We start from the raw sequence: 16,262 nt of genomic DNA, 5'->3' as shown, positions 1-16,262 counted from the left end.
ATGCTGGGATTACAGGCATGAGCCACTGTGCCCGGCCTGGCAGAAATATTTGAAAAGAAAGTTTCAACCTATGAAACTTATTTGTATCCTAATTTAAGCCGTAACACTATAAGCCAAATACCTTAAGACAATGGGGAATTATATTTTCTGTCTTGATACTTGACAAAACTGTGAATTATTAATTTTTTAAGATGCGTCAATTTTTAAACAGTTCTTATCTCCAAGAGATACTTGCAGCTGAAGTTTTATGATGTCTAGGATTTGTTTATAAATAATCCAGGTTAGATAAGGAATGGATGAAACTAGATTGGCCGAATTTACAATGCCTAAAGCAGGATGATTGGTAGTTATATCAAGTACCAATTATATACTATTCTCTTTATTTTGAGAAAGCCTTGAAAATTTCTACAACAAAAAGTTAAATTATAAGAAGAAATACAGGCAAATATAAAAACAAGTGGAAGGTCGGGTACAGTGGCTCATTCCTGTAATCGTAGCACTTTGGGAGTCTGAGGTAAGAGGATTGGTTGAGCCCAGGAGTTTGAGACCAGTCTGGGCAATGTAGCAAGACCCCATCTCTGAAAAAAAAAAAAATTAGCTGAGCCTGGTGGTCCATGCCTATAGTTCCACCTATGTGAGGTTGAGGTGGGAGGATTGCCTGAGCCTGGAGGTTGAGGCTAGAGTGAACTGTGATCACACCACTGCACTCCAGCCTGGGAGACACAGCTAGACGCTGTCTCAAAAAATAAAATAAAATAGGCTGGAGGCAGTAGTTCACACCTGTAATCCCAGCATTTTGGGAGGCTGGGGTGGGTGGATTGCTTGAGCTCAGGAGTTTAAGAGCAGCCTGGGCAACAACATGGTGAAGCCCTGTCTTTACCAAAAACACAAAAAATTAGCTGGGTGTGATGGTACCCACCTGTAGTCCCAGCTACCCAGGAGGCTGAGGTGGGAAGATGGCCTGAGCCCAGGAGATGGAGGTTGCAGTGAGCTGAGATTGTGCCACACTGCACTCCAGCCTGGGCAACAGAGTGAGACCCCATCTCAAATAAATTAATTAATTAAATAAGAACAAGTTGAAAACTGGGGGAAATATTTGCTAAAACAATGTTTAAAAATACAGATAAAGTTTTTAAATTAGCACATGTGGCAATGAGTGCTGGTTGTTCCTGCCATCCACTCACCTTTCTCTTTAGTATCAGCACCCCTGTGTTACATGGGCACATTGCATCCAGGGTAAAGAACTGTATTTTCTAACCTCTGTTGTGGTTATATATGGCCATATGACTATGGTTGGGTTTGCTCAAATTACTGTATTCTGGCCAACAAGACGAGAGTGGAAGTACCATTTGTGACTGCCAGGAAACACCCTTAAAGGATATTTCTTCTTTTTTTTTTCTAATGGTTGGAATGTGGATGTGGTATAAAAGGCCATATTGGCCAAAGAGATCAAAGCCATTTGCCAAAAATAGTAAAGCTGCAAGATGGCAGGATCTTGGATCCCTCACTATTTAGATACACTGTCCTTTCAGCCTTGAGCTGACTATCTTGGGCTCTCCTGTACATGAGACATAAATTTCTCCTTGTCGTTGCTATTATTTTGGGTTTTCTGACGGTTGTCACTGAACCTAATTGTAAATAATATATCCTACAATGAAAAGATGGTCAAGTATGTTAGTATACAGTTTCCAGAAAAAAATATATAGTTAACCAAAGAACAGCTAAAAACACCCTGCCAAAAATATAAATTTTAACAGTATTTTTTATCTATCAAATAATAAAAGTCACAGATACATTATTGAATGCTGACAGTATGGTATAGTGGTTAAGAGAGCGACGAAGGAGCCAGACAGCCAGGTTCATGTCCCTGCTTTGCTTTGTCATTTACTAGCTGATTTAACTGAAAAATTTATTTTGATTTATTTTGATTGCCTGTCCTATTTCATCTGCAAAACATACTTTTTACAGTTATGAGCATGACAAGAAAATACAGTGCCAGCATGGTGTCCAGCATTTGTAAATACAGTGATATTTTGTAAAAATAGGTTTAAAAACAAATGACAAAATGAGTGCTCATTGCAACTCTGAAATCTCTACAGCTTTTCAGGAAAGTAACTTGGAATATAAATAGCTTTTAAAATGTTAATAACTGTTGACCATTAATTCTACTTCTAGGGCTCCAGCCTGATTAAGTAATTAGAGATGAACACAAAGGTTCATTCATAAAGATGTTCACTGTGGCATTATTAATAATAGTATAAAAGTAGAAGCAATCTAAACAACAGAAAATTAACATATTTAATACATTATGATGCATTCATATTATTTAACCATGAAAAATAATCATTTTATGCAAGTAGAAAATAAAAATGAGTTCAAAAATAATCTGACAGGCTGTTGGCTGAGATCTCAGCAATGGAGCAAATCACCAAGAAGACAATTTTAGGAATTCATTTAGCCAGGAGTAACCTGTGGGAAGGAGAAAATATGTCTGCACTTTCATGGCAATTGAGATCCAAATACCTGTCACCCCAGCACCCTGAGCCCCTTCCTTCCCATCCAGATTGTACACCCATCCTTTGAGGGACTTCTACAAAATGCCATCATCCAAATTTGGCTATGATAGCATCCCAAACACCAAAATGTAAGACTTTACTCAGCAAAGATATCAATAGCCTTAACAATGTCACTGATCTTTGATCCAGGGATTCCTGTTCTAGAATGCTATCAGAGGAAAATATTCTGAAATGCAGTTTTTTTTAATACAGTGTTTGTTATAATATTCAGAACAAGAAACAATCCAAATATCTAATAATTGAATACTGGTTTAAAAAAGAGAACACTAATATGATACACTATTATGCAGTGATTAAAAGCATGCTTATTAGAGTTTTCAATAACATGGGGAAACATTTATGCTGTTAAGTCAAAAAAATAATTAGCATGCAAAATTCAATGTGTTGTTTAGTCTCAACTATGTGTGGAGAAAGATAAATAACACTAGAGAGATAACAATTTATTCAACAGTTATACTATATGTAGTTTGTGTCATTTTTCTTTTTTTTTTTCCTTATTTATGTTTGAGACAGGATATTGCTCTGTGGCCCAAGCTGGAGGGCAGTAGCTTGATCATGGCTCACTGCAGCCTTGGCCTCCCAGGCTCATACAATCCTCCCAGCTCAGCCTCCCAAGTAGCTGCCACCTGGCTAATTCTTGTGTTTTCTTTGTAGAGACAGGAGCTCGCCATGTTGCCTAGGCTGGTCTTGAACTCCTGGACTCAAGCAATCCTCCTGCCTCGTCCTCTCAAAGTGCTGGAATTACAGGCATGAGCCACTGTGCCTGGCCTTTGTGTCATTTTTCTATCAATCTATATACTGTGTGAGTCAATTATTAAAATATTAGGGAGAAGTAGAGAGAGTAATTAAGCAAATCTAATTAGGAGCAGTTTTCCATTTCTTATTTATACCTTTCTTCCTGTACTTTGCAGATGTTCTACAATAAGCATTTTTAATAATTAAAAATACGGTAACAATTTAAATAACTACAACTGGAAATGCCTTTTCTCTGGTGTCTCAGATGGATAAACTTCACTGCCATAATACCTGGGCGCCTGGTGAACCCCAGGCCAGGCAGCATGCACCCAGCAGGACTATGACTCAGGAGAAGGGAAGCAGGCAGGATGACTAGGTAGACCCACCACTTAAGTCCTTCCCACAGAATGTAGCTATTTTTATGGCATTATTTCTTTATACTTTTCAGAAGACAAAAGTAATTTTGTAGGTATCTAGGAACAGAATTTATCTATAAGGCTGAAAGAACTTGGAGGGTTGAATATTTATAATATTTATAGTCAATATTTAAAATAACATGAAATCTTTTCTGATTTTACTCCAGTGTTGCTAGAAAATGTTGGCGAAGAACTAGATCCTATTTTGGAACCTCTTCTACTAAAACAAACCTTTAAGCAGGGTGGGAGTACATGTATCCGGCTTGGGGACTCCACAATTGAATATGCACCTGACTTCCGCTTCTATATTACTACCAAGTTAAGAAATCCTCATTATCTTCCTGAAACATCAGTAAAGGCCAGTATATAAAATGAATGTTTCTTTATCAGATTTTGTAATTAGTGACTATATATTCCTCCTGAGTCATAAGAAGAACAAGTCTTCCTAAGAAAAACGGATTTTGCCTTATTTTGGTATTTCCTAAAATTATTGCTATAATAATTTCCAAATGTTGCATTGGTGAGTACATGTAAGTAATAAAGGAAACTTCAGCATGCTGTGAAAAAAGGTCATCAGAATCAAATTTCTACAATTGATATGATTCTTAGATTTTCATTGTTAAAAATAGAAGATATATGCCCACATTCTTTCTTTGTAATAAATGATTATATGCTAATTATTGAAATTGAAATTCAGAAACAGAACTCCATTCTTCTTTCTCAGACTAAGGTTGCTGCTGTCTGATTTTATGTAATTACTTAAAAGAACTGTTTTCAATCACTTCTTTTAGAATACTAAAAATTCCTTTAAAGAGTAAATTGAGCTTAAAGTTTTTTAGTCAGTGACTAAAATGTCCTGAGATGTTGATCTGCAGCTGAGCTCCTAGGTTTATGGCCTACACCTTATTCTGTTTTTAGTCCTACTTCTTAGCCTTGGTTGGCATTCATTAAATGTTTGTGGAGTGAGTGAATGAGTGAGTGAAGGATTGCTTTCATTTACAGAGGCAAGCAGGAGAAGACATTAAGAAGCTTATTTAGATTTTGAAAGTTATATAGAGAGGCAAGAGTTATATAGTGAATTCAAATACTTGCCTGTATTGGAAATATTTAAATTAACATAGGCATCTCTCTGCAGAGAGGCAGAGAAAAGATCGAGATGGTGTAATTTATTCCCTCCAAGATGAATAAACATGATCCCTGCTCTCCAGAGGTCTATCTTATAAATAATGTGTATGCAAAGTGACCGAATTGTGTGACTAGGAAGACACAGCGGAGCTGCAATGTGTCCTGGGAGCTCAGAGTTGAGGATATACTTAGGGTGGACATTCAGGGATGTCAGGAAGACTAGGGGAAAATGGAGTGACCCTTGAACTTAATTTTAAAAACAGAATGTTAAAACATGGAAATTCTTGGCTATTTTTAATTAATTAAAATCCAATATTATTTAAACACTTTCAAATGTCTACTATGTATTTACCTGCTAGGGAAGGGAATATCCAGTAGTAGTTAAGGCCATAGATTGGGGTGCTACTTGCCAGGTGTGCGATTTGGGACATTTCATGTAACCTCTCTGTGCCTCAATTCTCTCATCTGTCAAATGAGAATAATAAAAGTATCTATCTCATAGAGTGATGTGAATTAAATAAATTAATCTGCATAAGATGCTTAGAATAAAGCCAATAGATAGTATTACTATGAGTGTTACTTATTAGCAATATTATTTAACATTTAAATATAAGTGAAAAAGAAGGAAGCAAAAAGGAAATGATAAAATCCCAGAGCTGTGTTAGAGAAAAATGTTTAAGTAAATGACATGGAAAACCTTTTTTACTGTTCAGTAAAATACGTGGAACTATCGCACATAACATAAACAATTTTTAGTTCACTAATAACTGGTTATGGTAGGAGTCATAAAGTGCTGTGGGGAGGAAACTGACCTATGATTCAGTATCAAAACCCTTAAGATCCCTAGAGTGTCTTATTGCTTTATTATTTTTAATTGCTGGGATTGATTAAACAGGGATTAGAAAACATAGTGAGGCAGTTACTTGCTTTCATTTACAAATTATAATACTTCCTCTGGATCCCACTTTTAGGATCTTTTATGTACCTTTTGCTTTCAAAAGCACCCAAGGGATGGTGTCGTGCTGGTATAATCCTTTTGAGTCTAAATGAAAATAAAATTATGAAACCATAGTTTATGTTCTTAAATGTTTATTTGAGAATAAATGGCTTGATTTGAAAAGTCTTGATGTGAAAGGACCCAACATTAATGGAATATGAATGGATACTTCCTTGTGTCTGAACACAGTGAAGTAAAAGTTGCAAAACATGCATTTTGCTACCACTGTGCCTATGGTTTTTGGATTAAAGCAAATGTAGCCTGTGGACTTGGTTTCTCATGCCAATAGGGAAAATATCTTCAAAGCTTTATACTTTTTCCATGAATAAATGGCAAAGCAGTAGAGAATTACATAACATTTAATGAGTTTTCCAAATTGCTCAATTTTAAAAATTGCTTATCTCATATAAATTTATGATTATATCTATGTAGTCTATAGTTAGTGGCCTCCATGGTCTGCCATGGGACAAGTGGGGGAAAAGTTTTTAACCCAGATAATACCCCACTGAGGAGGTGCCTAGGTGTGGGCGGAAGGAGGGAATCATCTTCCTAGGGGTTTTGCAAGAAGCTGTTTTACACTTATTGGCCACAGGCAGGACATTTTCTTACAAAAATAAAATTACTCTGTCCCTGCAGAGGAAATATTTTCTTATAAGTAAAAGCAGGGAAACACGATATCTCCCACCCAGTAGCAGGAGCTGGGAATACAGAGATGTGGAGGCTAAAGCAACTCCATCTTGGATGCTAATCCACCAAGTTGGCTTCTGATTTACCTCTGTTCCGGGAAAGGTCTAAGATTTCCAGTTTATCTACTGTGCCTCCTGTAAGAGCAGGTACTTACCATACGTTCTGCTCTTCGGTCAAACAACCTTCAATTATTCTACACATCTCTTCTAAATCGTTTCTCCTGTGATATATGAGCCCTGGGTCTTGTGGGTAATGGCACAGGGATCCACCGACTTGTCTCCCTGCCACCCAGGACACAGACATGGCTTATGTTTGTTAAGTCCCTATTAGATGTTTCTTTCTAAGAAGTTAGATATGTCAGCCTCTTTCTTCAGCCTCAGCTTCTGCTGATTTCAGGGGTAGGTTTGCAAAGACCTGCCCACCAGGAAACAACAGATGAAAAGACAAAAACCAAAAGTAGAGAGAACAGCAACCTCAGTAACAGCATTACCTATTTTTAGTTTGTAAAAAAGGAAAACCTTTGAGCCTTGGCAATGCAAACAATTTATAAATCAGGCAAAACCTCCAAAGGTGCTTTAAAAAAGTCATTAAGATTAGAAAAATAACATTTTTGACTCTTCTTCTTCTTCTTTTTTTTTTTTTTAACCTTCCCACCAGTTGGGTAAAACACTGCTTGTCTTTAGGAGGGAGAGTGATGGCTCCTTCTATAGTTGTGCAGTCTGTACATAAAACAAAGGTGGAGTTGAAGAGGGCTGAAATCTAGCCCCAAGTTGCTTAGGCATTGGCCTGGTGCGGGGCTGATTCTGCATGCAGACAACATCTTTTTCTAATCCACACAAGGTACTTCATAGACTAGCAGAGCCTTGAGAGGAATAAAACATAAAAACAAGAACAACGCTTTTGCTTTGCAAATAAATCTTTTGAATAAGCTGCCTGTATTGGGTTTGGTTGATTATAATCTGCTACATGTAGGTAGTTTGCCCATGGGGTTGTTTCTTCTCTCCTAGTTCACATGTTTTATGATTCGAATTAAAATTCTAATTTAAAAAAACCCTCAGATTTCGGTATGCCAAAATGGCATTTTTTAGCTGCTACAATTTAGGTTAAGTTGTGATCGAAAATGTGTTTAAAAGTTTTGGACAAAATTGTCACTAACATATAGAATGCAGTGGTGTTATCTGGGTTTGGGAAAGTACTTTCTATTAAGGAACCTCCTTTCATTAGGGAAATGATGAAATCAGGAGCAAACACTGAGTCACCTCTGATGATTTGTGGTAGTTGCTGAAATTTTTGTAGCATTTTCAAGGGTAAAAAAACAAGTATTTCTTTTTTTTTTTTTTAATTTTACTTTAAGTTCTGGGATACATGTGCAGAGCGTGCAGGTTTGTTACATAGGTATACATATACTATGATGGTTTTCTGCACCTATCAACTCGTCATCTAGGTTTTAAGCCCCATATGCATTAGGTATTTGTCCTAATGCTCTCCCTCCCCTTGCCTCATACCCCCCAACAGGCCCCAGTGTGTGATGTCCCCCTCCCTGTGTCCATGTATTCTCATTGTTCAACTCCCACTTACGAGTGAGAACATGCGGTGTTTGGTTTTCTGTTCCTGTGTTAAAAAACAAGTATTTCTAATATTGCCGACTGCACACATTGAATTCTGATACATGTGGTAGAAAATGTTTGCCTTCAATTATAGGTAGTAGACGAAGAGTGCTCCTTGGGTCATACCTGCACACTCTCCAGTGGTAGAATAGATTCCTCTAAACGTGCTTTGCTTTCTCTGCTGCTTTGTCTATGCTGTTTCGTTTGCCAAGAGCAATTGTTCTCAATCCTGGCTGAACATTGAAGTCACCTGGAGAGCTTTTAAAACTCCAAATACTCAGGCCACACTCTAGACCAATTAAACCAAACTCTCTGGACATAAGACCCAGACACTACTGGTTTTTAAATTTCACAGTATATTCCAATCAGCATCCAAGGTTGAAACTTTCTGCCCTGTAGAATGTTGCCCTCTTCTTTCTCTTGACTAACTGCTGATCACGCTTAAGTTTTAGCTCAGGTGTCCTTTGCTTGGGGGAAGTCCTTTTTGCCTCCCTGAGCTGGGTTGGGTGCCCTCTGTGCTCCTGTAGCATTGCAAGCTGTCCACTCTCAGAGTCCTTATCCCAATGTATGTTCTTTGTTCCTCTGTTTGCTCAACTAGATGAAAACTTTTTGAGGGCAGGGACCAGACTGTATCTTACTCTTCTTTATATCATAGAGCCTGATTCATGGTAGCTATTATTTTATATAAAATGCCTTTGGGAAGAATCATCAAGTGACTAAAATTTTAGGAAATAGAAGTAGCAGAGAGCAACTCTATGAACAGGGAATGTGGGCATTCTGATTGTTCATTCAATAAGTTTGTAGGGAGCATGACTTTGTGCTGAACAATACAACCATGAAGTCAAATAAGAGACGACCCCTGTGCTAAAGTTACTTTCATTCTGGTCTGGGAGAGAGGTATATATGCCCATGATTGCATACAGTGTAATATGTGCTGTAATGAGTTAAGACCCCTATGAGGAAGTGCAGAAAGTAGCTTGGGGTAGTGATTTGGGTAGAACACATTGTATGGGAAAGTGTCCAAGAGGAGCTGACACTTGATCTGCACACTGACAGATGAATAGGAGCTAATCTGGTGGATAACAAGGGGAAGGGCGTAGAGCAAACACTGAAGCACATGGAGGCATTTCATAGATAGTGTGTATGGGATTCCACAATCAGTTCCTTGCAGGAAAATGAAAGGCATGTGAATGGGAGTAGTGGGAGGTGATGCTTAAGACATAGGTGCAATGTATACAACTGTTATGTATCCATAAAAATTAAAAATTAAAAAGATTGGTGATACATGGTGATAATAAAGAGCCATCTTTATTATTAAAAAAAGACATAGATGTGATTCAAGACATTAGGTCAGGCAGACTGCAGTATACATGAAAAAAAAAGTGAGGATTTCAAATGAAGCCAAGGTCAAGACAGTGTTTATTGACTTACGGGTTCATTGGTGACCAGAGCCAGGAAGTTACTATGGTTTATAGCAGTGTGTGTGGATGAGTGTGCAGAGGCAGGGCAGGGAGCAGATTGTAAAGGGCTGTATCATGAAATAAAGTGGAGGCAGAAAATATATATAAATAACATTTTCAATAAGTGTCGTTTCGAAAGCCCAAAGAGAGGTTATTCCATAGCTGGAAAGGATTGTGGGAGCAATAGAATGATTTGTTTGTTGTTTGCTTTTTTTAAAAAAAGAGTCCTCAGCATGTTTGCATGCTTATGGGAAAGAAACAGGAGATGTGGACAATGAAGAGAGACCTGCCTGTAAGAGCAATTAGGTCCCCAGATGAAGCAGGTGTTAGCAGACAGTCTTGATGGACACCATGAAAATGTAAATTCCTTAGTTCACAATAGTGGCTGATTATCAGATTGTAAAAATACTTCACTCATGACAAGTAACTACAGTGTTCCCTTTTCTCTTATCTCACTTTGTAAGATTTCCTTTACTTTTGACACCACTAGAATCCTTAAAATGTAAATCAGCTGGTCCAACTATTATGATTCTAGAGCCAGGCTTTGAACCATATATTATACCATGCTCTGATCAACTGAAATGAAAGATAGCTTCCAACCTGATTCTAATGAATTTTGCTGTTAAAGAGTTCTCAGAAATTGGACTAGTTTGAAATGAGAATAAGTTGATCACCAAACAAACCCTTTGAGGTATTAGATTTTTGACTATGAGAAACTGAGGTGGGTTTTAAATCCAACAATCATATTTGCCTATGTCGTTAATCATAGTCTCTACAAATTACACCTTCACAAGTACTACCATATATAGTAAATAGAGTCTATTTTAAGGGCAGAACTTGACACATAAAAGCAGAGACTTTTTAACAGAAATAATGATGTAATTTTTGTATATTTTTTCATTTATAGGTAACATTATTAAACTTCATGATAACCCCTGAGGGAATGCAAGATCAGCTTCTGGGAATTGTGGTGGCACAAGAAAGGCCAGACCTTGAAGAAGAAAAGCAAGCCTTGATATTACAAGGAGCTGAAAATAAAAGGTTTTAAATGTCATAAACAGAACTATTCTTATTTGTTTCTAGATCACTAGAATGAATTAAAATACATTTTACAGATCTCTTTTGTTAGATTTAATAGGAATACTGCAAGGGAAAATATAACAGGAAAATGTAAGGAATTATACCTCTATGTCAATTTAGAAAACTGCGTTACTGAGTATATTTTTACATGCAAGTTCTTAGGCACTGGAAGAGCTAGAAGGCCTGCCAGAAGTCAGGGCAGGGTATTTTCAAATATTCCACAAAGTTTTAGCACAAGAGTTTTGGTATTCACTGTGTAACTGAGGTAAGCTGTTTTTACTGGAGCATGGTATGAATGAATATGTTGCATCCCACTTTCTGCTCATAACATCTGTATCATAGGTAGAAAGAGTAAAGCTGTATAAGTCATGTAACATTTCAGAAAATAAATGGAGTGCTACTTTCTATTCACTCTGAGCTGAGATCCTTGATGGCAGAGTAAATTGGCTTGCCGTATTTCTCTCTAGTTAGCCCATAAATGATCATTAAAAAGGGAACTGGAGCAGAAAGGCCCATCTTTGTGACATTTTACGAGATAAGAAATTAATTATAAGGCATCACCATTACAGATATTTGTCACAAAGTGATGCATTTCTTTAGGTTACAAGTTCTTTGTTTCTTATAAAAGAACATATACGTGAAATGATTTTAAATGACTTCTTTTTCTTCTAAGAAAATTTTGTTTTATTCCAGGCAGTTAAAAGAAATAGAAGACAAGATTTTAGAAGTTCTTTCATCTTCGGAAGGCAATATATTAGAAGATGAAACTGCTATTAAGATATTATCTTCCTCCAAGGCCTTGGCTAATGAGATTTCTCAGAAGCAGGAAGTAGCCGAAGAGACAGAGAAAAAGATTGACACCACCCGCATGGGCTATCGTCCTATTGCCATCCATTCTTCCATCCTATTTTTTTCTCTTGCTGATTTAGCCAACATTGAGCCCATGTACCAGTATTCACTGACCTGGTTTATTAACCTTTTCATCCTGTCTATTGAAAATTCAGAGAAATCAGAAATTTTGGCAAAAAGGTATGTAAAGGAAATACTAGTTAATATTAACTAATTAATGCATGAAATCAGAGAGTAATTTGTGACCTCTATTGTTGTCTCAGAGTGGTACAAGCATTACAGCCACTTACCTAAAATGAACTTGATTAATCATCGTATCAGAAGTAAATATGGGGGTTAGAAATTGAACAGATGTGTCCAAATTCAATCTGCCAAGAAACTGTTTACAGAGATCTAGAATTATAATGTAATTCTAGAAAGAGAAAACGTTTACCTTATTTTTCATCTGCAAAATATATTTATGAATGGAAGTGTAGAAAGAGTAGTTAATAATTTTTAAAATATGACTCCTGTACGAACTGGCATTCTAAAAGTTGCAAATTCACAGTTTAATATACACATCTGTAAAATTTGTCAAATGCTAGGGTAAAAAAATCCCAAGCCTTGTTGCGATTATTTGTGGTAATAGATCTTCTTTTCTATTATTCTTATTTACATAAAATACTTTATATTACTGTTGGCTATTACAATAAGTAATGGAATTAAGACCTGACTTAAATCTACAAGAGAATTAAATTTCATTTGATTTTTTAAAATCAGTTAGATAATTTTCAGTTTGGTATTAAGACATGTTTTTGTTTTGTTTTGTTTTGTTTTGAGACGGAGGCTCACTCTGTCGCCCAGGCAGGAGTGCAGTGGCGCAATCTCGGCTCACGCAAACTCCGCCTCCCGGGTTCACACCATTCTCCTGCCTCAGCCTCCTGAGTAGCTGGGACTACAGGCACCCACCACCATGCCCGGCTAATTTTTAGTAGAGACAGGGTTTCACCATGTCAGCCAGGATGGTCTTGATCTCCTGACCTCATGATCCACCTGCCTCGGCCTCCCAAAATGCTGGGATTACAGGCGTGAGCCACCATGCCCGGCCAAGACATGTTTTTAATAGAGTTTAATGTGTAGTTACTTTTTGAAAAAAGAAAGTAATTAATAACAACTTTTGCCTTTTATAACCTTCTTGATCAGTATGAACCTAAATACTTCAGTTTCTTGACTGTTCAGACCCACAAGGGAAACTCAATTTAATTTTTATCACTCACAGCTAAGAATTATTTTTAGAAATCCAAAATGTTAATCTCACTAAAATCTGAATTTAATTCCTTTATCATAGTAGAGGTCTAAAATTTTGAGTGTTCTTAGACTTAGCAATTTTTTGTTAGTAAGATTTATTATTTTACAAGTTTGAATATGAGACTAATAAAGGTGTGAGTCCGACACTTTGAGCTTGGCCAAAAATATATATAGATATATAGATATCTGCCATTGAGAAAGAGAGGGAGTAGGTAATTTTTTTTGGAAGAAATGCATTGCGTAATGATAGAGTTTATTCATCTTTATGATATTTGAAAATGTTTAGTTTATTTCTTCCAGTTCTGAAATTTTCAAGTTTAGCAAGGATTACAGAAATAAAACAAAATTTTAAGTGATCTTTCTTAGAAAAGTTCCCAGCTATTTGCATTATAAGTTAGTTAATTAAACATGCATGTCTGGTTTTCATACTAGATTCTGAGTTCCGTGGGACAAGAATTAAAAAAAAAAAATTATCCCCAGCCTGGGCACAGTGGCTCACACCTGTAAGCCCAGCACTTTGGGAGGCCAAGATGAGCAGCTTGCATGAGTCCAGGAGTTTGAGACCAGCCTGGACAACATGGCAAAACCCCATCTCTACAAAAAATACAAAAATTTAGCTGGGCACGGTGGTGTGGGCTTGTAGTCCCAGCTACTGGGGAGGCTGAGGTGGGAGGATTACTTGAGCCCAGGAGGTTGAGGCCGCAGTGAGTCGTGATTGTGCCACCACACTTCAGCCTGGGCAGTGGGAGTGAGACCCCATCTCCAAAAGAAAAAAAAAAATTATTCCCAGTAGTTACGACAGTGCTAATCACATTATAGCCACACAATAAATAATGCTCTGCTTTTCACTACTGGTCTTAATTTCTACCTTGCTTATAACAATAACCACTAGAATGTTAATCTGTTAATTAGCTTAAAATCAAGGTATTTTCTGGAGTCTAGAGAAGAAAATTTCTTTGGTCTGCCATTTAAAGACATTTTTCATATAAGCTTTAAAAATTCAAACAATCCTATGCTTTGAAAATAATGATGGGTCCTTTATTGTCTCCTATTATATCAAGTTAGAACTCATCCAAGGTATGAAATTTGTTTCTTCATTACTGTGCTTTTGTCCCTTAAGATATAAGGAAAAGCAAATCCTTTTTACCCAGATGTGTGATTTGGATGAAATTTAGAAAACAAAATGTGGCCTTTTCTTTTTAGTTGAACTTCTTTAATTTCAAAACAATTAAAATCTTATGTATGTCTGCCGTAATACTAAAAGTATAATTTTGGAACCAAAAGGTAAATAGAGAAAATAGATTTTAAAACTTTTATTGAAGTTATCAATACACATGAAGAAACGTGCAGAAATCAGAAGTATTTGCCCAGTGAATTCTCATAAGTGAGCAAACCTGTGTAACCAGCACCTAACTCAAGACACAGAACATTATCAACAGCCCAGAAGTGTCCCCTCCTGATCACTAACCCTCTCCCCCAAGGTGACCACTGTCCTGACTTCCAACACCACAGGTTAGTTTTTGCCAGTTTTAGAACTTCATATAAATAAAATCACACAGTGTCTGCTTTTTTGTGTCTGATATCTTGCACTCAACGTCATGCTTGTGAAATTAATGCACATTGTTTTCTCTAGTGCAGTGTTTTACTTACTTATTTAATTGTTAGTTTTCTATTGTTGGGGAAGTATAATTAAAAACTACATCTTTTCCCAACCCAGAAACTCTCTCCTCAAAGACAGTAGAGAAAGAAAATAGTTTTATTGTTGAATAAACATTAAACGGAACATGACACATAATCAGAGACAATCACAAAGAGATTGCAAAGACAGAGAGGAATCTCACCCCCTTAATTATCGAAGCAGATAAACCCATTACATCACACTTAGTTCATCCTAACTTTACTTGGCAATTGAAGTGACCATCTGTGTTAGCAAACTGGCTTTATCCAGAGGAAAACCAAACTTTTCGTATCTGTATGACAGGAGGTAGTTTTGCAACTTGAAATAAGCTTAACTGAAGTTAGGCTCCTACCCTTCTGCAGCACTTTGGAGACAAGTGGGCTATCTCCCTTGATGTTTAGATTTCAAAGAAATGGCTTCTGGGTCTTTGAGAAAGACATTACTGGGTCATAAAACTGACAAAGGTCTGACTAGTTTTCAAAAGGGTTTATATTCAACGAGAGGAGGAAGTACCTATAATTTTAGGTTTTCTAAATTAAGAAAAAAAGGAGGGAAGGAAAATCTCTCTCCTTATTTTCAACATAAAGAATTGAGTCTCTTATTTTCAATTTTTACTTGTCCTAATACTGTAACACAAATCATTTATCCATTCTACTGTTGAGGATATTTGGGTAGCTTCCAACTTGGGGTTATTATGAAATTTTGCTTCCTTGAACATTCCTGTACATGGCTTTTGGTGCCGATATGTATCTGTCTTTGGTGGGTGTATATCCAGGAATGAAATTGATGACCACAGGGCATGGTTATATTCCCTTTTAGTAAATACTGCCAATAGTTTTCCAAAGCATTATACCAAGAGAGAAACTTTGATCAGTCCTATTTAATCTTTTTTTTGTTGTTAAAGTAAACTAAGAGTTTCCAATTAAGAAGCTAGCTCCCAAATCAGAAATTAAAAAGAGAATGAGTTCTCACAGAAATGATCTGTTTTTCTGCCAATCATTGATAGTCATCAAATAACTGGTAGACTTCAGGCAGTTATTGGACGATAGTTCTACCAAAAGCATAGAAAACATGTGACTATTAACACTAGCCAACCTGATTGTTTTAGAATCTTAATATTGGTCTAAAATTATTTCTCATTTCTTTTTATTTAGGGATATAAATGTATTTCATTCTTGTTTGTCTTCTGGTAGTGATTATTATATGGTACCAAGAATGTATTATGTTACGACTAGTATGGTATATACTGTGCAATTGCCATAACTTGGATCATCTGTTATTTATAAGATTTTAATGCATTAGAATTTATGTAACAGAATAAATAACTTTATGTAGCAAGCAAAATAAAACAAAAATAACATAAATATAGAAACCAAATCTAACTAGGATATGGTTTTGTTAAATATCCTGGAATCAATCTGTTGCTGTACAAATATGCATGTATATGTAATTGTAACCACCCAATGGGTTCTTCCTGTCTGCCGCCCATAGAAAATCAACCCACTGAGACCATGACATTGTGATAAAGAAAGAGTTTAACTGATGTGAGGCCAGCCACACCATGCTGAAGATGGAGTCATTACTCAAATTAATCTCCTGAAAATTCGGAGGCTAGGGCTTTTCAAGGATAGTTTGATGGGCAGGGCGTTAGGGAGGAGGGCATGCTGATCGGTTGGAAACACAATCATAGGAACTCAGCAAGGAAAACAGTCTTCCCTGAGTCTGCTTCTGGGTGGGGACTGCCAGAGGAGTTGCTGGTCTAGGT

The 16,262-nt window shown here is 36.7% G+C and overlaps 1 protein-coding gene across 8 annotated transcripts in view; it reads left to right on the top strand.

Annotated features, from left to right (window-relative positions):
• Positions 1–16,262, top strand: part of DNAH7 (dynein axonemal heavy chain 7) — a 331,135-nt gene that overhangs the window by 240,498 nt on the left and 74,375 nt on the right. For 6 of the 8 annotated variants that reach the window (XM_011511488.4, XM_017004504.3, XM_011511490.4 and 3 more), the window contains 3 exons: positions 3,895–4,085; positions 10,511–10,644; positions 11,377–11,712. In XM_011511488.4, the coding sequence (XP_011509790.1) occupies positions 3,895–4,085; positions 10,511–10,644; positions 11,377–11,712 (661 nt within the window). Of the gene's footprint in view, positions 1–3,894; positions 4,086–10,510; positions 10,645–11,376; positions 11,713–16,262 lie in introns of those variants that run through there. The other 2 variants (XM_011511491.4, XM_011511494.4) reach the window with 2 other exon arrangements.

The sequence above is a fragment of the Homo sapiens genome, chromosome 2, assembly GCF_000001405.40.
Source record: "Homo sapiens chromosome 2, GRCh38.p14 Primary Assembly".
NCBI classification, from domain to species: Eukaryota; Metazoa; Chordata; class Mammalia; order Primates; family Hominidae; genus Homo; species Homo sapiens.
The sequence above is the reverse complement of the archived record's forward strand: the minus strand, read 5'-3'. Positions and strand labels throughout refer to the sequence as shown.